The sequence below is a fragment of the Homo sapiens genome, chromosome 5, assembly GCF_000001405.40.
Source record: "Homo sapiens chromosome 5, GRCh38.p14 Primary Assembly".
Lineage (NCBI taxonomy): Eukaryota > Metazoa > Chordata > Mammalia > Primates > Hominidae > Homo > Homo sapiens.
The window spans coordinates 180,865,552-180,891,270 of NC_000005.10; the positions used below are offsets into that span (position 1 = coordinate 180,865,552).

Sequence of the window (25,719 nt, forward strand, 5' to 3'; positions counted from 1 at the left end):
GATATTCCATTAAACTACAGTCTCCTTAACTATTCTGTATAACTCACAGAGGTTTTTTCTAAGTATGTCTTTTTTAAAAAATAAATCAGTGCTGTTTTAGATAGTAGCGTGCAGAACGCTTTCATCGTATTTTCCTTGGAATAATTGACAAGAAGAGGAATCACTGGTTCAATAGACAGACATTTTTAAGAGTCTTAAAATAAGAACAATAGGGAATTAGAAACACTAATAAGCTTAATAGGTAAACACTGGAAACAATCAGAGTAAAGAACTAGACAAGGTTGTTACTCATCAGTACTATTATTTCCCATTGCAGCTGGATTAAACAAAGAAAAAAGAAGTCAGAATATAAACATTGGAAAGCAGAGGTGTAATTGTCTTATTTGCAGATATGATTTCATTTTTGGAAAACTCACAAGAATTAACTTGAAAAAACTAGAAAAAACGAGAATGCTGTAAGGTGTGTTTTCAAAATTAACATATAGAAATCAAGTTTCCTTATATAGAAACTACAGTTGGAATAATGGAAGGAAAGACTACATTTACAATAGAAACAAACAAAAGACCAAATGCCCAGGAATTCATGACTCACGTGCAAGACCCATATGAAGAAAATTTACAGTGCTCCTGGGGACATAGAGGATGAACTAAACTTATGGAAAGATTCTTGGATGTTCCATTCACATGAATGGAAACACTTGACATCAGAACAGTCATTTCTTGTAAAGTATAATTGTCATGATCCTGATAAAAGCTAGCAATAGAATCTCCTTTGGCAACCCACAACTGATTCTAAAGTTCACATGGACAAATTTAACAGACTCTTGCTTGTTTCTAGCTAGAAAATGCCTATAAAAATATGAATGACGCAAGGCACTATTAAGGCACGTTAATAATTAAGCTGGTATAATTCTGAGACATACATATAAAGTCTAGAAATAGACCTAAACAGTCATGGGTATTCGGCATCTGGTAAAGCTAGCATTTCAAACTAGTGGCAAAGACAGAACAGGGACAGCTGGGAAGCATTGGGGAAAAAATGAAGTTGGATTCAAACCACAGCCCTTACACCAGGATGAATGCCAGGTGTATCTAAGACTGAACTGTGAAATGCACACACACCAACCATCCTGGCAGCTGCTCCCACTTCCATAAAATTTTACAAAGAAAAAAAAAAAACTGCAGGAGATTGCTTTGCTCATATTGGACTGAGGGAGGGTTTTTGTTTTCTTTCTTTCCTTTTTACTATAACGCAAAATCCAAAAACTGTAAAAGTAAAGATAGAGCAATTCAAACACATAGAAATAAAATACTTCCGTGTGGCAAAACCACTACAAGAAAAGTAAAAAAATCAAATGACTAACTGGGAAAAAATATTTGCATGTTATATCACAAAGGGCAAATTTCCCTGATACACAGAGCTTCTCCAAAATTGAAAACCTGAACAACCCAGTGGAAAAATGGGCTCACAGGAAAGCTTATACAAATGATTCAAAATAAAAAAGAATGCAAGCCCAAACTACATGGAAATACAATTTTTCTCTTATTAGAATGGCAAAGATCCTGAGTTTGATCCACGCTGTGGTGGTGACAGCATGGTGGGGAAAGCACTCTTCCCCGCTGGTGGGGTGTTGACGGACCTCACCTCCAGGGAAGGCAGCGTGCGGTGTGGATGGACGTGCACGTACTCTTTGCCGCAGCAATTCTCCTCTACGAGTCTACCCTGCTGGTATAGTCACACACTCATGAAATGGTGTGTGAAAAGGTTATTCACAATAGTGTGTCTAAAGTAAAAGATGGAGAAAACCTAAAGGTCCAAACTAAAGACGTGATTACATAAATTATTGTACATTCACGTGTATTAGTTTTCCAGGGCTGCTGTAAGAAAGTACCCCACACAATGTGGCTTAAATAGGAACAAGTTATTGTCTCACAGTTTTGGAGGCTAGATGTCTGAGATCAAGGTGTCAGCAAGTTTGGTTCCTTCTGAGGCTGTGAGGGAGAATCGGTTCCACGTTTTGTACCTAGCTGCTGGTGGTTTGATGGAAATCCTTGGTGTTCCTTTGGACGGAGACCACCACTTCTCCTGTTGTCCTTCCCAGCTTCTCCCCAACCTCCCCTTTTCCCTAGTTTATAAGACAGGAGAAAAGGGAGAAAGCACAGAGTTGGAAAGAAACAGAAGATAGCGAGACGACCTTGGCGCCACCACCTGGCCCTGGTGGTTAAAATAATAATAATAATAATAATAATAATAATAATAATAATAACCCCTGACCAAAACTACTGGTGTTATCTGTAAACTCCAGACATTGTGTGAGAAAGCACTGTAAAACTTTTTGTTCTGTTAGCTGATGTGTGTAGCCCCCAGTCACGTTCCTCACGCTTACTTGATCTATTATGACCCTTTCACGTGAACCCCTTAGAGTTGTAAGCCCTTAAAAGGGCTAGGAATTTCTTTTTCGGGGAGCTCGGCTCTTAAGACGTGAGTCTGCCGATGCTCCCGGCCGAATAAAAACCTCTTCCTTCTTTAATCCGGTGTCTGAGGAGTTTTGTCTGCGACTTGTCCTGCTACACTTGGCTTGTGGACACAGCACCCAGTCTCTGCCTTTACCATCACACACAGCCTTCTCACTGCATGCATGCCTGTGTGCAAATTTCTCCCTTTTTTAAGGAGACCAGTTATATCGGATTAGGGCCCTAAACTACTCACTCCAGCATGACCTCGGCTTAACTAAATACATCTGCAATGACTCTGTTTCCAAATAAGGTCACATTAGGAAGTATCTGGGGTTAGGACTTCAACATACGAATTTTGGGGGAACACAGTTCAACCCATAACAGCATGCAATGTACTACTTTCAGCCATAAAAAAGGAAGAGGGGCCTCTTTATAAAATGGTATGGGAAAATCTCCAAGATGCATGTGAAATAAAGAAATCAATGTGCCAAGCTATGTTATAATTTGCATAAGAAAGGGTGAAATGAATGTGTACATATTTGTGTATGTTCATAAAAATGTTCCTGAAAGTTCACACCAGAAACCACTAACCGGGGCTGTCGGTGAGGAGGCACCTGGGTGGCTGGAAGAGAAGGGTGGGAAGGAGAATTTTCAGTGCATATCGTCTTTATACTCCTGCATTTTGAACCACGAGAATATAGTATTTATTCAAAAATTATATGTAAACATAAATAATCCTAAATTGCATCAGATTGCTAAACTACTACTTCAAGAAGGAGTATTTCAATTTATAAAGTTTCCAACTATAAGTAAAAGCTCTTTACTCACTCACCTCCCCAGGATTGGGTTGTGGCAGGTTTGTTTTTTCTCTAAATTTGTAGGCAGCAAATAGTGTCTGGTTGTTTAATTTTCTTTACCCTTCTATCATGTGTGTCACCCAATTGAGCCATCTCTCCCAGGGACTGCCTGTCCTGTCCTTACATCAAGTCTTTCGGTACCTTTTGTAGAGTTTGTGTCCATTGTGGGAACACATTCTTTATTAAAGAAGTTCACCTTTTGAATTGGCCATCAATTGCTGTTCTCTTTCCTGCTTGCCCTTTAACACCAACAATTTCCTTTCATCCCTCAAGCTTTACATGGATGTGTAAAATCTGTGTGGCAGGTGGCGCTGTTGAGCTGGAAGGGACCGTGGGATGAATCTGGAGAAACCTGTTACCAGAGGCTCTTAAGGGATAACCCACAGTCCCTGGGAAAAGGTCTAGAAGGAGCAAGCAGCCTCCTACTGTTATCATTTCTGGGTCCTGTGGAAAGGGAGATGTCTGTGTCAGGAGTTCTGACTGACACTTACATCTAAAATGATAATCAACAACAGCGAGAAATTTTATGGGGCTTATTTTGTGCCAAGCACTCTTCTAAATGCTTTATATATATAGATACATTGAATCTTCTCAACAGCCCTTTGATGAAGGCACTGTGTGTGTGTGTGTGTGTGTGTGTATATATATATATATATATATATATATATATATATATATATGCACATACATATACCTGTTCTACAGAAGGGGAAACAGAGAGGGAAAGCAAATTGTCCCAGGACACACAGCTGGTAGTTTTGAGGCTGTGATCTTTGACATCTTTGAAATGCTCTGGCCTGGGCACCTGCTGGTTCAAGCCCAGCTGCTTGTTCTCCTCCTGTAGATATATTCATCTCTGGTTGTTGTTCACAAGCCACAGAGTGCCAAGACCAAACAGGAGGCTGTTAGGACACCACCCTTACAAGCCTCTGCCAACTTGGCAGGAGGAGGAAATTTTTGTTTTAAAAGAAAGAGAACTGGATGTCCTCTTGTACACATGGATTAACTCACAGTTTCATAAGACCTTGGGAAAGGAGAAAATCAAAGGAGCTGTCTTTCCCTAATTTGGACGGAGAGTTGGTGAAAAATGGCACCTGCTCCAAGGTATTTTCTTGAATCTGTGTTGGGCTCTGGGTTTCTTATGGGACTGGGCAGTTGTGTAATCTTTGGTCTCTGCTCCCTCATCTGGAATATAGGTAATAATAATACCTACTTCACAGAGTTGTGAAAATTAAATTAGCATATGTAAGGCACTTAGAACATACATATTGATATATTGAATCTTGTCAATAACCCATTGATGACAGCACTGCATACATCCCCATTTTACAGATGGGGGAACAGAGAGGGTAAGAAAACTGTCCCAGGACTCACAGCTGGGCAGTCTTGAGGCTCAGATCTTATGACGCCATACAGTATGCACTATCTGAGTTTTCATGATTGGTGTTGCTGTGGTCACACTCCCGGAGGTACCGTGTCTTCCTGAGGGGAGTGGATCACCTTTCTCTATCTCCCTGGGAAGCGGAAGATGTTGGGGCGGGATCTGAGGACTTGAAAAGTGCAGCCTTAGCTGGGTCAGTGGTTGACCCCTCCCTCTCTCTGGGTCTGGCTGTGTCGGAGTCCAGAGAAACACTGAGGGAGCAGGTCAGGAGCTGGCAGGGAGTGCCCCGTAGGGGCCCCACGGGACTGCCCAGGGTCTGTGGGTGTGGAAGGTAGCCTGTGGCAGGTTATTCTCCGAACAATAGCTCTTCTGAAGCATGATGGTCTGGTTGTGACTGGACTAAGGGAAAATTACAAGAAAGGCTTACGTTCATATCTGCCTGTGTGGTGCGCACCAGGGTCCCGAGTACAAAGCACTGTTACTAAACTGGAGGTGACAGCAGTGTAGACACACACAATCTGGACTGGCCCTGGAGGACACATGGAATACCTCAAAGACCCAGCAATGCTAGAAAAGCGCAATGGTGTAGTCAGCATAGTTAGACGAGGTTGCAGTAACAAATACACCCTCCCTCCCGGTGGCCTAAGACAAGAAGGTTTATTTGTTCTTCACGTAAACTTCATTGTAAGTCAGTTTGCTCTCTTCTGTCTTGCAGCCATAATATCTGGAATGTGTGGCCTTCAGAATTGCCACTGTAGAGAAGAGAAGGCTGGAAGACCCCATGGGATGCTTTAAGGGCTAGGCCCAGAAGTGCAATTACGTCATTTACAACCACCTCTCTTTGGCCAGAACCAGGTCACACAGCTCCGTTCTAACTGCAAAGGAGGCCAGGGCTTAGAAGATCTCGTGGATATTTGGTGAATACTGGCAGTCTTGCCATAGTCAGGAAACTTCAAAAAGGGGAAAAGATGCCCTATGGCCACACTCCACTCTGGCCCACAAGCTGGCATCATCCAATGACGTGGCCGATGTGGCCTCATTTGTTGCGTGGGCTGGCAAAACCCATATTCAGGTTATACAGGAATCCTTCATTAAAGTTTAGAGGTCCTTTCTCCTCCAAGGCCCAGTTCTGTTTTTTTTAAAATTAATTTTAAAATATTTTTCCCTTTGATCTTTTAATTAATGAACTATTACCATATAACAAATTGCCCCCAAAACTCGGTGGCTTAAAACAACAAACATTTATTATTTCACAGTTTATGTGGGCCAGGAATTTGAATGCATATTAACTGAGTGGCTCTGATTCAAGGTCTTTGACGAGGCTGTACTGAAGGTGTGGACTGGGGTTGCAGTCATTTGGAGAAATAGCCCAGTTGGAGTTGGAGGATTTGCTTCCAAATTGGCTCGTTCCCGTGGCTGCTGGTGGGAGGCCTCAGTTTCTCATAGTACAGGTCCCTCCACAGGCCTGCTTGAGTGTCCTCATGGCATGACAAGTGATCCAAGAGAGAGGGTGACACTGGACCATGGCGCTTTTTATGCCCTGGTCTCTGAAGGTGCACACCGTCGCTTTTGCCGTATGTTACTCCAGTAGAAGCAAATCACTAAGTCCATCCCACACTCAAGGAAAGGACCTAAACTCCAACTCTTCAAAGCAGGAATATAAAAGAATTTCTGGAAATATTTTCAAACTACAACAGTCTCCCTTGAATTTATTTTGGAACATGAGTTTCCATTCCCTACGAAGAACTGATTGCCCCATTACCATTTACTCATTTAACTTCCCCATTGAACTAATTTATCGTATTAAATCATTATCTAGAAAAGGGCTTGTCATGGGCCACCTATTTAGTTACATTGACCTGTCTGGCTATTGTCATGTCCAAGTACATTTAAATTTTTCAGAGGTCATAAAACTTTAAGCCAGACCACAAGCTCCCTAGTAGCACAGCCTGTAGACATATAAGGGATTATACTATGTTGTATTAAGTGCAGGGTCTTAGCACACTATGAAGTGTACATATGAAGTTGTACTGCCCTTGAGGGCAGTAGCAACTCGACTGACAGAGGCTCTGCCCGAAGCCAGGCAGTGATCATGCTGAAGGTCAGGCCAACGAGGGTGTGTGTGTGTGTGTGTGTGTGTGTGGTGGGAGTGGGAGGGTGCTGGGGTACCAAGAATGGCAGCTGAACTGCATCTTTTGTTAGAGATCCGAAACTCTCAGCTTGCGGGACTTTACTTCACAGGCGTAAGCACAATCTGATGGAAAATTTGAATCCTGAAAACGTGATATTTCATCTGTATCTCATAGACATGGCACCTGGCACCGTCCCAGACAGGGCACATCATGGGGCACTTGGTTAGTGGATGGGTTGTCAGGTCAGGGAGGCGACACAGGATCACCTGAGCACATCCAGGACACCTGCCAGGACCAGCCGTGTGAGGCTTTCGACTGTGGCGGGGGCACCTGCTGTGCTGAATGGCTGGTTTGTCTCTGGGATTTGGGTAGAAAACAGAGCCACCAAGGTGGATGCTCAGTTTCAAGACCTCCACCCTCCACTGGGGGAAGTTTCAATTCAGCTGTGGCCATGGGGTCCACAGCAAGACACCCTCCCACCCCATGAGACACAGAAAGAGGAAGAAGGCTGCTATACGGGAATTAAAATATAAAGCTCCAGGCATAATACAGAGAATCAGCTCCTGATAAAGTAAGCCAAGAGACTGTCTCTACACACGTGACTGAGTTATGCTCGTCCCAGATCCAAAGCTGAAAGAGCAGGACTGGTTCGGGATTTCCATTTGTCACCTGTGGCTGATGCTATTGTCTAGCTCCCCGGTAGCCATCCCCACTTCTCTTCTGTTTGACTAACAGAGCCCCAGAATTTTTCCAAGCAGCAACACGCCCAGACCAATCAGAATTGATGTAAGATGAACAAGCACAGCGACTCCCATTCTCCTTTCCCAGATACTCAATTTCCCTGCTTGCAGCTAAAGGAGGCCAGGTGACCTGTGTGGCCACTGAGATGTGTGGGGAACTCTGATATGAGCTTTGGGAAAGATTTTAAGATTAAAAAAGAAAACCAGGCCTGGCATGGTGGCTTACTTTGGGAGGCCAAAGCAGGAGGATCTCTTCAGCTCAGGAATTCAAGACCAGCCTGGGCAACATGGTGAAACCCCTTCTCTACCAAAAATATCAAAAAAAAAAAAAAAAAATAGCCAAGCATGGTGGCAAGTGCCCGTGGTCCCAAATACTCGGGAAGTTGAGGTGGAAGAATCACTTGAGCCTGGGAGGTGAAGGTTGCAGTGAGCCGAGACTGCACCACTGCACTCCAGCCTGGGTGACAGAATCAGACCCTGTCTCTCAAAACAAAAGCAAAACAAACAAAACAGCACAGAGAAGAACTGGCTGGTACTGCCTCTTCCTGCGTCCTCCTATGTGATGCCTGGGCCTCCTCCAGTCTTGTCACCATGAAGCCACACCCAGGAGGCCCTAAAGGCGGCTGGCTGATGAGGGCGGAGTAGGAGACGGGTGTGACGGTTAATTTGGTGTCAACCTGATGGGCCAGATCTTTGGGCAACATCTTCTGGTGTTTCTGTGGGGTGTTTTGCATGAGACTGGGGGGACTGAGGAAATCAGATTGTTGCTCCTAATGTGGGTGGGCCTCATCCATTCAGACGAAGGTCTGAAAAGAACACAAAGGTTGATCTGCCAAGCAAGAGGGAACTCCCCCTGCCTAGCAGCCTTCAAACGAGGGCATTGGCTATTTCACTCAGCCCGCAGACAGGAACTAAACCATCTGCTCTCCTGGATCTCCAGCTTGCTGACTCACCCTGTAGATCTTGAGGCTTGCTGCTTTTATAATTGCGTGAGCCAGTTCCTTAAATAAGTCAGTCTCTATCTCTGCATCTACTTGGTTCTCTTTCGCCAGAGAATCCTGACTAATACATGGTGTCAGCCTAGGTCTTCACTGACCCCACTGGTCTGGTTCACCAGCACTGACCTGCCTGAACTCCTGGCCTCAAGCGATCCTCCAGCTTCAGCCTCCCGAGTAGCTGGGACTACAGACTGAAATTCTAAGGAAGCAGGTAGATCCCCAAACAAACTGTTTTTTCCTGAAAACAGGAAAGTCACACCAACCAGTTGGAAAGACCTCAGTTTACCTGAGTCAGCATAATGAAGAAGTCCCCTCTGCTTTAACTTACAAGAAAATAACCTGAAGTAACCTGATATTAAGCAATCTGATTTTTTTCTATTGTTCTGTTTCCTCGTTCCCACCTTACAAAGCCCACAGTTCTGCTATTGCCCAGTGGGAGCTCTCCTTCTATTTTGAAGAATAGAGGCTTCCCTCATTCATAAAAGCCAATTAGATCTTAAAAACAAATTTGTGTAATTTTGTCTTTTGACAGTACCTAAGAGTGTATCTGCCATAAACTTCTCAAGGAATTATGTGAGCTTCTGAGAAACAATAGCTTGCTGAAAACAGGGAGGCAGCGAGCATGAGAGTAATGTGGAAAAATCTCACGTGGAAAGAAAGAATGGGATAAAAAGCTGGATATGCTGTAAACAAGGTATCTATTTACAAAGACACACAGAAACTTCTGAACCTTTGGACAAAAAAGCGACGAAGAAATTTGTCAAAGTGTTGAGCAGTTGCTTCTAGTTGGTAGGATTTAAATATTTTAGTCTGTTTGCTTTTTATATCTTTTATAAACAAAGCCCTCTTCACTCCTGTGTGGCTGGCACAGGAGAACCTATGTGGACTTAACACCCTCTTCGTATGCCTCCTTTCCCACCCTCCATTTCGTCTGTCTACGAATTCAGCTTCCCAGGAACCAAGGAAAGCAGAAGGGAGATGCCTGTCTACGTGGAGAGTTCAGTCATGATACACAGGATTACCGGCTGTGACTGACTGAGCCAGCATATGTGTTGAGCAGTCAGCTGTGAGTCTGGGTAGCGTGAGTCTGGTAAGGCAGACAGACGGAATTTCTGCCTTCTTGTGGCAGAGTCCCTTGGCGGGGCTGGCAGGACTCAGAAACAGGGGAAGGCACATGCCAACATCCCCACTAACTAACTGAGGCCAGCCTCTGCTAGGAGCCTCCTGTGTCAAGTGTGGGGCTTACCACATTATAGCTATCTCACTCAATCCCCAGGACAGCACTGTGAGGCCAGTGCTGTTGGCAGAAAGGCTGGGAGGTACAGAGCAGGGGAGTCCACATGTGGCTGTGATGACCAGGAGCCCCTCACTAACAGCAGAGGTGTGGACTGGGGTGAAAAACAAAGACAAAACGTCCACAGGAGTGTTAACACTACAGAAATAAAAAGTGTTAGAAGAGGCCGGGTGTGGTGGCTCACACCTTTAATCCCAGCACTTTGGGAGGCCGAGGCAGGCAGATCACCTGAGGTCAGGAGTTTGAGACCAGCCTGACCAACGTGGAGAAACCCAGTCTCTACTAAAAAAAATACAAAAATTAGCCAGGTGTGGTGGCGCAGGCCTGTAATCCCAGCTACTCGGGAGGCTGAGGCAGGAGAATTGCTTGAACCCAGGAGGTGGAGGTTGTAGTGAGCCGAGACTGCGCCACTGCACTCTAGCCTGGGCAACACGAGCAAAACTCGTGCAAAAAAAAAAAAAAAGAAGAAAAAAGTGTTGGGAGGATGGACAGAAGCATCTGGGGAAGACTTTGCAGGTGAAAACGGCAGAACTCTCACTACATGACAACTTTGGTCAAGCTCTGAGAGACTTTACCAAACTCTAGCATGGCTTCTAACAGCGTAAGGCCATGTCCCTCAGATAAAACCAGCGTTCCTTCAAGTGCCTGCCTGAGAAAGTTCAATGTGCCAGGGAATGACTATTTGTCTTAGCTAACATTCATCTGGTGATAGGCCCTTGGACTCCCTTACTATAAAAGGCTTACAATTTTAAATACAGTCGTGCATCATGTAATGGCAGGAATACGTTCTGAGAAATGTGTTGTGAGATGATTTCATCATTGTGTGAACATCATAGAGCGCGCTTACACAAACCGAGATGGCACAGCCGGCTACACACCCAGGCTGTATGACACAGCCTGTTGGTCCTGGGCGGCAAACCTGTACTGGGGCTAAAAACCTGTACAGCATGTGACTGCACTGAATACTGTAGGCAACTGTGATATGATGGTGAGTATTTGTGTATCTAAACATATCCAAACATAGAAAAGACACAGTAAAAATATGATATAAATGATTAACAAATGGTACACCAATATAGGGCATTTACCATAAATGGAGCTGTGGCTACTGGCTGGTACAGTATTAGGTGTACCTGAAGTATTTGCTGATGCCTGCCTCTCTGCCTCTGAGGTTTTTCTGGAACAAACGCCACTGTAGTCAGCTGGCAGTGATGAAGCCCAGACATTCAGTAAATTTTAAAGGGGTATGGGATCTTGCCTGCCACTGGAGCAGGTCAGGAGGCTCAAACTATGGCTACTGACCTGGATTAAGAGGCTTTGGGGGTAAGCCTCATGCTTGGTTTTATTGTTGGGGGCCAAATGTTAGGGAACAAGGCAGAATCCTATGTTCACTTCCATCTCTCCTCCAAGTGGATGGTATCTCTCTCTGTGCTATGATACCTGCAGTTGGGGGAGAAGTGATTCAGGTAATTAAAACTGTCCTTTCTACCCTCTCCAATGCATCTTTTCTTATTATGTTACAACCATATACTCTGATCTCTCACCTGGTCTCCTTAGCTCTCATGAAGGTATTTATGTATGTTGCTAGTCATTCTATGTGATGTTTCTGCAGTGAGACAACAGCTAAAGAGTTCTCTTCTGCCATCTTGCTCTGTCCTTCATCCTACTCTATGTTTCTTCAAAGATAAATTATGTGTATTTGAGGTTTACAACATGGCATTATGGGATGCATATAGATAGTAAAGTGGTACTCCAGTGAAGCAGATTAACATATTTATCATTTCAGATAGTTACTTTGTATTTTTGTAATAAGAGGAGCTAAAATATGCTTATTTAACAAGAATTCCTAATACAATACAATTTAACTACTTGACTTCTTATATTGTACATTAGACCTCTAGATATTGATTCTACATATCGCCTACTTTTTATCCTTTGATCTACATCTCCGCATTTCCTTCGCCTCCCTCAGCCATGATAACCAGTTGGTTCTCTTTTTCTGTGTTTTTGAGATTAAATAAGATCATGTAATGTTTTTCTTTTTTTAATTTTTAATGGATTTTATTGGTGACGCTAGTGACTTGCTAATTAGCATGATGAATACTGGAAATTGGCTCTTTTTTTGAATAGAGTCACACTCTGTTGCTCAGGCTGGAGTGTGGTGGCATGATCACAGCTCATTGTAACAAACTGGGTTCAAACAATCCTCCTGCCTCCTCTTCCTGAGTAGCTATGACTACATGATGTTATGGGACTACAGGCATGTGCCACTGCACCTGGCTAATTAAAAAAAATTTTTTTTTTCTAGAGACAGGGTCTTGCTATATTGCCCAGGCTGGTCTTGAACTCCTGGCCTCAAGCAGTTCTCTTGCATCAGACTCCCAAAGTCCTGGAACTACAGGCCTGAGCCCCTGCACCCAGTCACATTTTCCTTTCTGTGTCTGGATTATTCAGTTAGCGTAATGTCCTCCAGGTCCATACATGTTGTAACAAGTGGCAGGATCTTCTTTTCTAAGGTGGAAAAATATTCCATTATGTACATATATCATATTTATGTACTTGTCTTTCTATGGCATTTACATTGTTTCTATATTTTGACTTTTGTGAATAATGCTGCAATAAACATAAGAGTGCAAATATCTTTACAAGGTGGTAAAGAAGAGGGACTGCTGGGTGATATGGTGTATTAATCCATTCTCACGCTGCTAATAAAGACATAGCCGAGACTGGGTAATTTATAAAGGAAAGAGGTTTAATTGACTCGTAGTTCCACAGGGCTGGGGAGGCCTCAGGAAACTTACAATCATGGCAGAAGGGGAAGCAAACACATCCTTCTTTACATGGCGGCAGCAAGGAGAAGTGCCAAGCAAAAGGGGGAAAAGCCCCTTTATAAAACCATCAGATCTTGTGAAAATTTACTTACTATCAGGAAAACAGCAGCATGGGGGTAACCACTCCCATGATTCAATTACCTCCCACCAGGTCCCTACCACGACATGTGGGGATTACAGGAACTACAGTTCAAGATAAGATTTGGGTGGGGACATAGCCAAACCATATCATATGGCATTTCCATTTTTAATTTTTTAGGAAACTTTATTTATTTATTTATTTAGATAGGATCTCATTCTGTCACCCAGGCTGGAGTGCAGTGGCATGATTTCAGCTCACTGCAACCTCTGCCTCCCAGGCTCAAACGATCCTCCCACCTCAGCCTCCCAAGTAGCTGGGACCACAGGCATGCACCACCACACCCAGCTAATTTTCTGTATTTTTGGTAGAGATGGGGTTTTGCCATGTTGCCCAGGCTGGTCTCTAACTCCTGAGCTCAAGTGATCCACCTGCCTCGGCTTCCCAAAGTGCCAGGATTACAGGTGTGAGCCACTGTGCCCAGCCAGGAACCTTTATAATGTTTTCCATAATGGCTGTATCAACCTACACTCCCACCAAATATTGTGCAGGGGTTCCCTGTTCTCCATACCCTTGCCAACATTTGTTATCTTTTGTCCTTTAGGTCCTAGCTATTCTAATATGGGTGAGGTGATATCTCGTAGTGGTTCTGATTTGCATTTGCCTTATGATTAGCGATGTTGATCACATTTTTATATACCTGTTGGCCATTTTTGTGTGGCTTCTTTGGTGAAATGTCTATTCCAGTCCTTTGCCCATTTTTAATTGGGTTATTTTTCTGCTATTGTGTTTTAATTGTTCTTTATAAATTTTACCCTTTATCAGATATGTGGTTGCAATTGTTTTCTCAAAGTTTGTAGGTTGTCTTTTCTCTTTGTTGATTGTTTCCTTCGGTGTGCAGAAGCATTTTAGTTTGAGGTGGTACCATTTATATATTTTTATTATTGTGCTTGAGTTTTTGAGGTGATACCCAAATTATTGTCAAGGCCAACGTTGAGGAGCTTTCCCTCTGTGTTCTCTTCTAGGAGTTGTATGGTGTCAGGTTTTATACTTATGTCTTTTATCCATTTTGGGTTGATTTTTGAGCATGGCATAAGATAAGAATCTAATTGTATTCCTTTGCATGTGTAAATCCAGTTTTCCCAGCACCATTTATTGGAGAGACTATCTGTTCCTCATTGTGTCCTCTTGTGCCATTGTCAAAAATTAGTTGACCATAGATGTTTGGATTTATTTGTGGGCTCTCTTCTCTGTTCCACTGGTCTGCATGTCTTTTTTTATACCAGCACAATACTGTTTTTATTACTCTAGCTTTATAATACAATTTTAAATTAGGAAGTGTAAAGCCATCAGCTTTGTTTGTCTTTCTCAGTATTGCTTTTGCTATTTGGGTTATTTTGGCTCCATATAGGTTTTAGAATTGTTTTTTCTATTTCCATAAACAATGCCATTGGAAGTTTGATAGAGATTGCATTAAATCTGTATATTGCTTTGAGTAGTGTGGACATTTTACCAATATTAATTCTTCCCATTCATCAACACAGAATATCTTTCAATTCATTTTTGTCTTCTTCAATTTCCTTCATCAATGTTTTAAAAATTTCTGAAGACTAATCTTTCATCACCTTGTTAAATTTATCCCCTTGTTAAATTTATTCCTAGGTATTTTTTGATGCTATCGTAATAGGATTTTTTCTTAATTTCTTTTTCAAATACTTGTTTGTTAGTCTATATAATTGCCACTGATTTTTATATGTTAATTGTGTATCCTAAAACTCTACTGAATTCATTTATTAGCTCTACTTTTTTTGTGTGTATAATCTTTGCAATTTTCTACACATAGGATCATGCTATCTGCAAATAGAGATAGTTTCACATCTTTTTTATTTGGATGCCTTTTATTTCTTTTTCTTGTTTGATTGGTCTTGCTAATATTTCTAGTGCTATTCTGAATAAAATTGGTGAGAGTGGACATTTATGTCTTGTTCTGGATCATAGAGGAAAAGCTTTTAGTTTTACCCCATTGATTACAGTGTTAGCTGTGGGCTTTTTTATAAATGACATTTATTAAGTAGAGGAATTTTAGTTTTTTCTATTATTATACTTTAAGTTCTAGGGTACATGTGTACAACGTGCAGGTTTATTACATAGGTATACACATGCCATGTTGGTTTGCTGCACCCATCAACTCGTCATTTACATTAGGTATTTCTCCTAATGCTATCCCTCTCCGAGCCCCCCCCACCCCCGACAGGCCCCATTGTGTGATGTTCCCCTCCCCGTGTCCATGTGTTCTCATTGTTCAACTCCCACCTATGAGTGAGAACATGCAGTGTTTGGTTTTCTGTCCTTGTGATAGTTTGCTTAGAATGATGGTTTCCAGCTTCATCCATGTCCCAGCAAAGGACTTGAACTCATCCTTTTTTATGGCTGCATAATATTCCATGATGTATATGTGCCACATTTTCTTAATCCAGTCTATCATTGATGGACATTTGGGTGTGTTCCAAGTCTTTGCTACTGTGAATAGTGCCACAGTAAACATAAGTGTGCATGTGTCTTTATAGTAGAATGATTTATAATCCTTTGAGTATATACCCAGTAATGGGATCACTGGGTCAAAGGGTATTTCTAGTTCTAGATCCTTGAGGAATCACCACACTGTCTTCCACAATGGTTGAACTAATTTACACTCCCACCAACAGTGTAAAAGCATTCCTATTTCTCCACATCCTCTCCAGCATCTGTTGTTTCCTGACTTTTTAATGATCGCCATCCTAACTGGCATGAGATGGTATCTCATTGTGGTTTTGATTTGCATTTCTCTGATGACCAGTCATGATGAGCATTTTTTCATATGTCTGTTGGCTGCATAAATGTCATCTTTTGAGAAGCGTCTGTTCATATCCTTTGCCCACGTTTTGATGGGTTTTTTTTCTTGTAAATTTGTTTAAGTTCTTTGTAGATTCTGGATATTATCCCTTTGTCAGATGGATAGATTGCAAAAATTTTCTCCCATTCTGTAGGTTGCCTGTTCACTCTGATGATAGTTTCTTTTGCTATGCAGAAGCTCTTTAGTTTAATTAGATCCCATTTGTCAATTCTGGCTTTTGTTGCCCTTGCTTTTGGTGTTTTAGTCATGAAGTCTTTGCCCATGCTTATGTCCTGAATGGTATTGCCTAGGTTTTCTTCTAGGGTTTTTATGGTGTTAGGTCTTACATTTAAGACTTTACTCCATCTTGAGTTAATTTTTGTATACAGTGTAAGGAAGGGATCCAGTTTCAGCTTTCTACATATGACTAGCCAGTTTTCCCAGCACCATTTATTAAATAGGGAATCCTTTAAGCATTGCTTGTTTTTGTCAGGTTTGTCAAAGATCAGATGGTTGTAAATGTGTGGTATTATTTCTGAGGCCTCTGTTCTGTTCCATTGGTCTATATGTCTGTTTCGGAACCAGTACCATGCTGTTTTGGTTACTGTAGGCTTGTAGTATAGTTTGAAGTCAGGTAGCGTGATGCCTCCAGCTTTGTTCTTTTTGCTTAGGATTGTCTTGGCTGTGCGGGCTCTTTTTTAGTTCCATATGAACTTTAAAGTAGTTTTTTCCAATTCTGTGAAGAAAGTCAGTGGTAGCTTGATGGGGATAGCATTGAATCTATAAATTACCTTGGGCAGTATGGCCATTTTCATGATATTGACTCTTCCTATTCATGAGCATGGAATGTTCTTCCATTTGTTTGTGTCCTCTTTTATTTCGTTGAGCAGTGGTTTGTAGTTCTGCTTGAAGAGGTCCTTCACATCCCTTGTAAGTTAGATTCCTAGGTATTTTATTCTCTTTGTAGTAATTGTGAATGTGAGGTCACTCGTGATTTGGCTCTCTGTTTGTCTATTATTGGTGTATAGGAATGCTTGTGATTTTTGCACATTGATTTTGTATCCTGAGACTTTGCTGAAGTTGCTTATCAGCTTAAGGAGATTTGGGGCTGAGATGATGGGGTTTTCTAAATATACAATCATGTTACCTGCAAACAGGGACAATTTGACTTCCTCTTTTCCTAATTGTATACCCTTCATTTCTTTCTCTTGGCTGATTGCCCAGGCCAGGACTTCCAACACTATGTTGAATAGGAGTGGTGAGAGAGGACATCCTTGCTTGTGCTGCTTTTCAAAGGCAATGCTTCCAGTTTTTGCCCATTCAGTATGGTATTGGCTGTGGGTTTGCCATAAATACCTCTTATTATTTTGAGATACGTTCCATCAATACCTAGTTTATTGAGAGTATTTAGCATGAAGGGCTGTTGAATTTTGTTGAAGGCCTTTTCTGCATCTATTGAGATAATCATGTGGTTTTTGTCTTTGGTTCTGTTTATGTGATGGATTACGTTTATTGATTTGCATATGTTGAACCAGGCTTGTATCCCAGGGATGAAGCCAACATGATTGTGGTGGACAAAGTTTTTGATGTGCTGCTGGATTTGGTTTGCCAGTGTTTTCTTGAGGATTTTCACATCGATGTTCATCAGGGATATTGGTCTAAAATTCTCTTTTTTGTTGTTTCTCTGCCAGGCTTTGGTATCAGCATGATACTGGCCTCATAAAATGAGTTAGGGAGGATTCCCTCTTTTTCTATTCTTTGGAATAGTTTCAGAAGGAATGGTATCAGCTCCTCTTTGTACCTCTGGTAGAATTCGGCTCTGAATCCGTCTGGTCCTGGGCTTTTTTTGGTTGGTAAGCTATTAATTACTGCCTGAATTTCAGGACCTGTTATTGGTCTATTCAGAGATTCAACTTCTTCCTGGTTTAGTCTTGGGAGGGTGTATGTGGAATTTATCCATTTCTTCTAGATTTTCTAGTTTATTCGTGTAGAGGTGTTTCTAGTATTCTCTGATCGTAGTTTGTATTTCTGTGGGATCGGTGGTGATATCCCCTTTATCATTTTTTATTGCATCTATTTGATTCTTCTCTCTTTTCTCCTTTATTAGTCTTGCTAGTGGTCTATGTATTTTGTTGATCTTTTAAAAAAAACCAGCTCCTGGATTTATTGATTTTTTGAAGGGTTTTTTGTGTCTCTGTCTCCTTCAGTTCTGCTCTGATCTTAGTTATTTCTTGTCTTCTGCTAGCTTTTGAATTTGCTTGCTCTTGCTTCTCTAGTTCTTTTAACTGTGATGTTAGGGTGTCAATTTTAGATCTTTCCTGCTTTCTCTTGTGGGCATTTAGTGCTATAAATTTCCCTCTACACACTGCTTTGAATGTGTCCTAGAGATTCTGGTATGTTGTGTCTTTGTTCTCATTGGTTTCAAAGAAAATCTTTATTTCTGCCTTTATTTCATACCCGGTAGTCATTCAGGAGCAGGTTGTTCAATTTCCATGTATTTATGTGGTTTTGAGTGAGTTTCTTAATCCTGAGTTCTAATTTGATTGGACTGTGGTCTGAGAGACTGTTTGTTATGATTTCTGTTCTTTTACATTTGCTGAGGAGTGTTTTTACTTCCAATTATGTGGTCAATTTTAGAATAAGTACAATGTGGTGCTGAGAAGAATGTATATTCTGTTGATCTGGGGTGGAGAGTTCTGTAGATGTCTATTAGGTCAGCTTGGTCCAGAGCTCTGTTCAAGTCCTGGATATACTTGTTAACCTTCTGTCTCATTGATCTACCTAATATTGACAGTGGGGTGTTAAAGTCTCCCATTATTATTGTGTGGGAGTCTAAGTCTCTTTGTAGGTCTCTAAGGACTTGCTCTAAGAATCTGGGTGCTTCTGTATTGGGTGCATATATATTTAGCATAGTTAGCTCTTCTTGTTGAATTGATCCCTTTACCATTATGTGGTGGCCTTCTTTGTCTCTTTTGATCTTTGTTGGTTTAAAGTCTGTTTTATCAGAGACTAGGATTGCAACCTCTGCTTTTCTTTTTGCTTTCCATTTGCTTGGTAGATCTTCCTCCATCCCTTTATTTTGAGCGTATGTGCGTCTTTGCACGTGAGATGGGTCTCCTGAATACAGCACACAGATGGGTCTTGACTCTTTATCCAATTTGCCAGTCTGTGTCTTTTAATTGGGGCATTTAGCCCATTTACATTTAAGGTCAGTATTGTTATGTTTGAATGTGATCCTGTCATTATGATGTTAGCTGGTTATTTTGCCTGTTAATTGATGCAGTTTCTTCATAGTGTCAATGGTCTTTACAATTTGGCATGTTTTTGCAGTGGCTGGTACCAGTTGTTCCTTTCCATTTCCATGTTTAGTGCTTCCTTCAGGAGCTCTTGTAAGGCAGGCCTGGTGGTGACAAAATCTCTCAGCATTTGCTTGTCTGTAAAGGATTTTATTTCTCCTTCACTTATGAAGCTTAGTTTGGCTGGATATGAAATTCTGGGTTGAAAATTCTTTTCTTTCAGAATGTTGAATATTGACCCCCACTCTCTTCTGGCTTGTAGAGTTTCTGCCAAGTGATCCACTGTTAGTCTGATGGGCTTCCCTTTGAGGGTAACCCGACCTTTCTCCCTGGCTGCCCTTAACATTTTTTCCTACATTTCAACCTTGGTGAATCTGACAATTATGTGTCTTGGGATTGCTCTTCTCAAGGAGTATCTTTATGGTATTCTCTGTATTTCCTGAATTTGAATGTTGGCCTGTCTTGCTAGGTTGGGGAAGTTCTCCTGCATAATATTCTGAAGAGTGTTTTCCAACTTGGTTCCATTCCCCCCGTCACTTTCAGGTACACCAATCAAATGTATATTTGGTCTTTTCACATAGTCCCATATTTCTTGGAGGCTTTGTTTGTTTCTTTTCACTCTTTTTTCTCTGATCTTGTCTTCTTGCTTTATTTCATTAATTTGATTTTCAATCACTGATATGCTTTCTTCCACTTGATCAAATCGGCTACTGAAGCTTGTGCATGCGTCACAAAGTTCTCATGCTGTGTATTTCAGCTCCATCAGGTCATTTAAGGTCTTCTCTACACTGGTTATTCTAGTTAGCCATTTGTCTAACCTTTTTTCAAGGTTTTTAGCTTCCTTGTGATGGGTTAGAGCATGCTCCTTTAGCTCGGAGGAGTTTGTTATTACTGACCTTCTGAAGCCTACTTCTGTCAATTCATCAAACTCATTCTCCATCCAGTTTTGTTCCCTTGCTGGTGAGGAGCTGTGATCCTTTGGAGGAGAAGAGACGCTCTGGTTTTTGGAATTTTCCACTTTTCTGTTCTGGTTTCTCTCCATCTTGTGGTTTTATCTACCTTTGGTCTTTGATGTTGGTGACCTACAGATGGGGTTTTGGTGTGGATGTCCTTTTTGTTGATGTTGAAGCTATTCCTTTCTGTTTGTTAGTTTTCCTTCTAACGGTCAGGCCCCTCAGCTTCAGGTCTGTTTGGAGTTTGCTGGAGGTCCACTCCACACCCTGTTTGCCTGGGTATCACCAGTGGAGGCTGCAAAACAGCAAATATTGCTGCCTGATCCTTCCTCTGGAAGCTTCATCCCAGAGGGGCACCCACCTATTTGAGGTGTCTGTTGGCCTCTACTGGGAGGTGTCTCCCAGTCAGGCTACACGGGGGTCAGGGACCCACCCGAAGAGGCAGTCTGTCCGTTCTTGGAGCTCAAATGCCATGCTAAGAGAACCACTGCTCTCTTCAGAGCTGTCAGACAGGGACGTTTAAGTCTGTAGAAGCTGCCTACTGACTTTTGTTCTACTATGCCCTGCCCTCAGAGGTGGAATCTAGAGAGGCAGTAGGCCTTGCTGAGCTGCAGTGGGCTCCGCCCAGTTCAAGGTTCCTGGCTGCTTTGTTTACACAGTGAGCCACTCAAGCCTCAGCAATGGTGGACACTCCTCCCCCTGTCAAGCTGCAGCATCGCAGGTTGATCTCAGACTGCCGTGCTGGCAGCGAGCAAGGCTCTGTGAGCATGGGACCCAGCAAGCCAGGCACAGGAGGGTATCTCCTGGTTTGCCAGTTGCTAAGACCGTGGGAGAAGTGCAGTATTTGGCTAGGAGTGTACTGTTTCTCCAGGTATAGTCTGTCATGGCTTCCCTTGGCTAGGAAAGGGAAATCCCCTGCCCCTTGTGCTTCCCAGGTGAGGTGATGCCCTGCCCTACTTCAGCTTGCCCTCCATGGGCTGCACCCACTGTCCAACCAGTCCCAGTGAGATGAGCCAGGTACCTCAGTTGGAAATGCAGAAATCACTCATCTTCTGCATTGATCTCGCTGGGAGCTGCAGACCGGAGTTGTTCCTATTTGGCCATCTTAGAAGCGACCCACAATATCTAGTTTTTTTTGAGATAGAGTCTCACTCTGTCACCCAGGCTAGAGTGCAGTGGCGCAATCTTGGCTCACTGCAACCTCTGCCTCCAGGGTTCAAGTGATTCTCCTGCCTCAGCCTCCCGAGTAGCTGGGATTACAGGTGTGTGCCACCACGCCCAGTTAATTTTTGTATTTTTAGTAGAGATGGGGTTTCAACATGTTGGTCAGGCTCATCTCGAATTCCTGACCTCATGATCTGCCCGCCTCGGCCTTGCAAAGTGCTGGGATTACAGGCGTGAGCCACTGCTCCCGGCCAGAATTTTACTTTTATACATGAATTGTTAAGAGTTTTTTGTTCGTTTTGAGAAGGAATCTCACTCTGTCACCCAGGCTGCAGTGCAGTGGTGCAATCTTGGCTCACTACAGCCCCTGCCTCCTGGGTTCAAGTGACTCTCCTGTCTCAGCCTCCTGAGTAGCTGGGACTACAGGCACACACCATTACCTCTGGCTAATTTTTGTATTTTCAGTAGAGACGGGATTTCACCTTGTTGGCCAGGCTGGTCTCGAACTCCTGACCTCAAGTGATCTACCCACTTCGGCCTCCCAAAGTGCTGGGTTTACAGGTGTGAGCCACTGCACCTGACCATTAAGAGTTTTTTAAATCAAGAATGGACGTGGAATTTTGTCAAATACTTTTCTGTGTCAATTGAGATAATCATGTGGTTTTCTGTTTTTCGTGCTGTAAATGTGATGTATTACATTGATTGAGTATGTTAACCAGCCTTTCATGCCAAGGATAAATCCCACTTGGTGATGACGTATACTGTTTTTGATGTGTTTGATGAATTTGGTTTGCTAATATTTGACTGAGGAGTTTTGCATTATATGAGTTATTGGCCTATAGTTTTTTTTTTTTTTTTTGGCCTAAAGACACCTATTGTGGTGTCTTTTTCTTGCTTAGTTGTGAAAGTGATGCTGGCCTTGTAAAGTATGTTGTAAGTATTCTCCCAGCTCTATTTTCTGGGACAGTTAAGTGGTAATAATTCTTCTTTGAATGTTTGGTAAAATTCAGCCATAAAGCCATCTGGTCCCAAGCTTTATTTCTGTTGGAAGGTTTCTAATTACTTCTTCAGTGTCTTTATTTATTATTATAATAGTTTGTTCAAGCTTTCTATTTCTTCCTAATTTATTCTTAAAAGTTACTGTTTTATAGTAGTTTATTAACTTTTATAAGTTGTGCCATTTGTTGGCAGATGCTTTTTCATAATTGTTTATTATGATGTTTTTTATTTTTGAGGCATGTATTGTATGGTCTTCATTTATATTTCTGATTTTATTTATTCCAGTCTTTTTTTTTTCTTAGTCTATCTTGGAATTTGATATTATTTATTTTTCAAGGCTGGGCACAGTGGCTCATGCATGTAATCCCAGCACTTTGGGAGGCCGAGGCAGCGGATCACCCGAGAGGTCAGGAGTTCGAGACTGGCTTGGCCAACATGGTGAAACCCTGTCTCTACTAAAAATACAAAAAAATTTTCTAGGCATGGTGGTGCACGCCTATAGTCCCAGCTACTTGGGAAGTGGAGGCAGGAGAATTGCTTGAACCCAGGAGGCAGAGGTTGCAGTGAGCTGAGATCATGCCACTGCACTCCAGCCTGGGCAACAGAGCAAGACTCTGTCTCAAAAAAAATTATTTTTCAAAGAATCAAGTCTTGGTTTTATTAGTTTTTTTCACATGGTTTTTCTGTTCTCTATTTGATTTATTTCTGCTCTGATATTATTGTTCCCTTCCTTCAGTTAACTTTGGGTTTAGGTTTCTCTTTTTCTAGCTCCTTAGGGCATAACATTAAATTTTTTGATTAAGGTATTTCTTCTTTTTTAATGTAGGCATTTATACCTATAAAGTTCCCCTTTAGAACCACTTTTGCTACACCCCATGGGTTTTGATATATTGTATTTTTATTGTCATTCATATCAAAATTTAAAAAATTCCTTCTGTATATGTGCTACTGAAGTGAGCACTTTTAATTTACCTTTGATTCTTATTTGATCCATTGATTTTTCAGAAACATGCTGTTTAATTTCCACATATCTGTGACTTTTCCAAAATTTCTCCTGTTACTGATTTCTAATTTTATACTGTCATGGCTGAAAACAATACCATTATGATTTTAATCTTCTTGAGTTTGCTAAGACTTGTTTTATGGCTTCATATTTGGTTTATCCTGGATAATGTTCCATGTACACTAGGAAAAATACACATTCTTCTGTCTGTACATATCTGTTTAAGTCCATTTGCTCTAATGTACAGTTCAAATCCAGTATTTTCTTGTTAATTTTCTGTCTGGTTCATGTATCTATTTTTAAAAAGGGGTATTGAACCAGAGAACACCACAAAGATACTCCTCAAGAAGAGCAACCCCAAGATACATAATCATGATTCACCAAGGTTGAAATGAAGGAAAAAATGTTAAGGGCAGCCAGAGAGAAAGATCAGGTTACCCACAAAGGGAAGCCCATCAGACTAACAGCGGATCTGTCTACAGAAATCCTATAAGCCAGAAGAGAGTGGGGGCCAATATTCAACATTCTTAAAGAAAAGAATTTTCAACCCAGAATTTCATATCCAGCCAAACTAAGCTTCATAAGCAAAGGAGAAATAAAATCCTTTACAGACAAGCAAATGCTGAGAGATTTTGTCACCACCAGGCTTCCCTTACAAGAGATCCTGAAGGAAGCACTAAATAGGTAAAGGAAAAACCAGTATCAGCCACTGCAAAAACATACCAAATTGTAAAGACCATCGACACTGTGAAGAAACTGCCTCAACTAATGGGCAAAATAACCAGCTAGCCCCAGTCAGTGACTGGCAAGATGGCCGAGTAGGAACAGCTCCATTCTGCAGCTCCTAGCAAGATCAATGCAGAAGGCAGGCGATTTCCAACTGAGGTACCCGGCTTATCTCAGTGGGACTGATTAGACAGTGGGTGCAGTTGGTGGAGGGTGAGTGGAAGCAGGGTGGGGCATTGCCTCACCGAGGAAGTGCAAGAAGTTGGGGAACTTCCTCCCTTACTCAAAGGAAACCATGAGGGACTGTGCTGTGAGGAACGGTGCACTCTGGCCCAGATACTACACTTTTCCCAAGGTCTTTGCAACGCACAAACCAGGAGATTCCCTGGGTGCCTACGCCACCAGGGCCCAGGGTTTCAAGCACAAAACTTGGCAGGTGTTTGGGCACACACTGAGCTAGCTGTAAGAGTTTTTTTTTTCATACCCCAGTGGTACCTGGAATGCCAGTGAGACAGAACCATTCACTCTCCTGGAAAGGGGGCTGAAGCCAGGGAGCCAAGTGGTCTAGCTCAGTGGATCCCACGCCCATGGAGCCCAGCAAGCTAAGACCCACTGGCTTGAAATTCTCGCTGCCAGCACAGCAGTCTGAAGTTGACCTGGGATGATAGAGCTTGGTTGGGGGAGAGTTGTCTGCCATTACTGAGGCTTCAGTAGGCGGTTTTCCCTTCAGTGTAAACAAAGCCACCAGGAAGTTCAAGCTGGGCAAAGCCCACCGCAGCTCAGCAAAGCGGCTGTGGCCCGACTCCCTCTCTAGAGTCCTCGTCTCTGGGAAGGGGATCTCTGAAAGAAAGGCAGCAGTACCAGTCAGGGACTTATAGATAAAACTCCCATCTCACTGGGACAGAGCACCTGGGGGAAGGGGAGGCTGTGGGCACAGCTTCAGCAGACTTAAACAGCCCTGCATGCCAGCTCTGAAGAGAGCAGCGGATCTCCCAGCACAGTGTTCGAGTTCTGCTAAGGGACAGACTGCCCTTCAACTGGGTGCCTGACCCCTGTGCCTTCTGATTGGGAGACACCTCCCAGCAGGGGTCAACAGACACCTCATACAGGAGAGCTCTGGCTGGCATATGGCGGGTGCCCCTCTGGGACGAACCTTACAGAGGAAGGAGCAGGCAGCAATCTTTGCTGTTCTGCAGCCTCCACTTGTGATCCCCAGGCAAACAGGGCCTAGAGTGGACCTCCAGCAAATTTCAGCAGACCTGCAGCAGAGGAGCCTGACTGTCAGAAGGAAAACTAACAAACAGAAAGGAATAGCATCAACATCAACAAAAAGGACATCCACACAGAACCCCATCTGAAGGTCACCAACATCAAAGACTAAAGGTAGATAAATCCACGAACATGAGGAAAAACCAGTGCAAAAAGGCTAAAAATTCCAAAACCCAGAATGCCTCTTCTCCTCCAAAGCATCACAACTCCTCGCCAGCAAGGGAACAAAACTGGATGGAGAATGAGTTTGACGAATTGACAGAAGTAGGCTTCAGAAGGTGGGTAATAACAAACTCTTCCAAGCTAAAGGAGCATGTTCTAACCCAATGTAAGGAAGCTAAAAACCTTGAAAAAAGGTTAGACGATGGCTAATTAGAACAACCAGTTTAGTGAGGAACATAAAGGACCCAATGGAGCTGAAAAACACAGCACGAGAACTTCATGAAGCATACACAAGTCTCAATAGCCAAATCGATCAAGTGGAAGAAAGGATATCAGAGATTGAAGATCAGCTTAATGAAATAAAGCATGAAGACCAGATTAGAGAAAAAAGAATGAAAAGAAATGAACAAAGTCTCCAAGAAATATGGGACTATGTGGAAAAACCAAACCTACGTTTGATTGGTGTACCTGAAAGTGACAGGGGGAATGGAACCAAGTTGGAAAAC

At 42.4% G+C, this 25,719-nt stretch overlaps 1 long non-coding RNA gene across 1 annotated transcript, besides 1 other annotated feature; it reads left to right on the top strand.

The window, feature by feature from the left end:
- Positions 1 to 4,222: 4,222 nt before the first annotated feature.
- LOC124901155 (uncharacterized) lies at positions 4,223 to 5,815 on the top strand. The gene is made up of 2 exons (XR_007059089.1): positions 4,223 to 4,418; positions 5,411 to 5,815. It is a non-coding gene; the product is annotated as an uncharacterized LOC124901155 (long non-coding RNA).
- Positions 8,587 to 8,636: an enhancer, noted in NCBI's record as "active region_23773". NCBI's record gives its function as "activates an Ori minimal core promoter by ATAC-STARR-seq in GM12878 lymphoblastoid cells {active_cell/tissue: GM12878}" and the evidence as "EXISTENCE:reporter gene assay evidence [ECO:0000049][PMID:35858748]".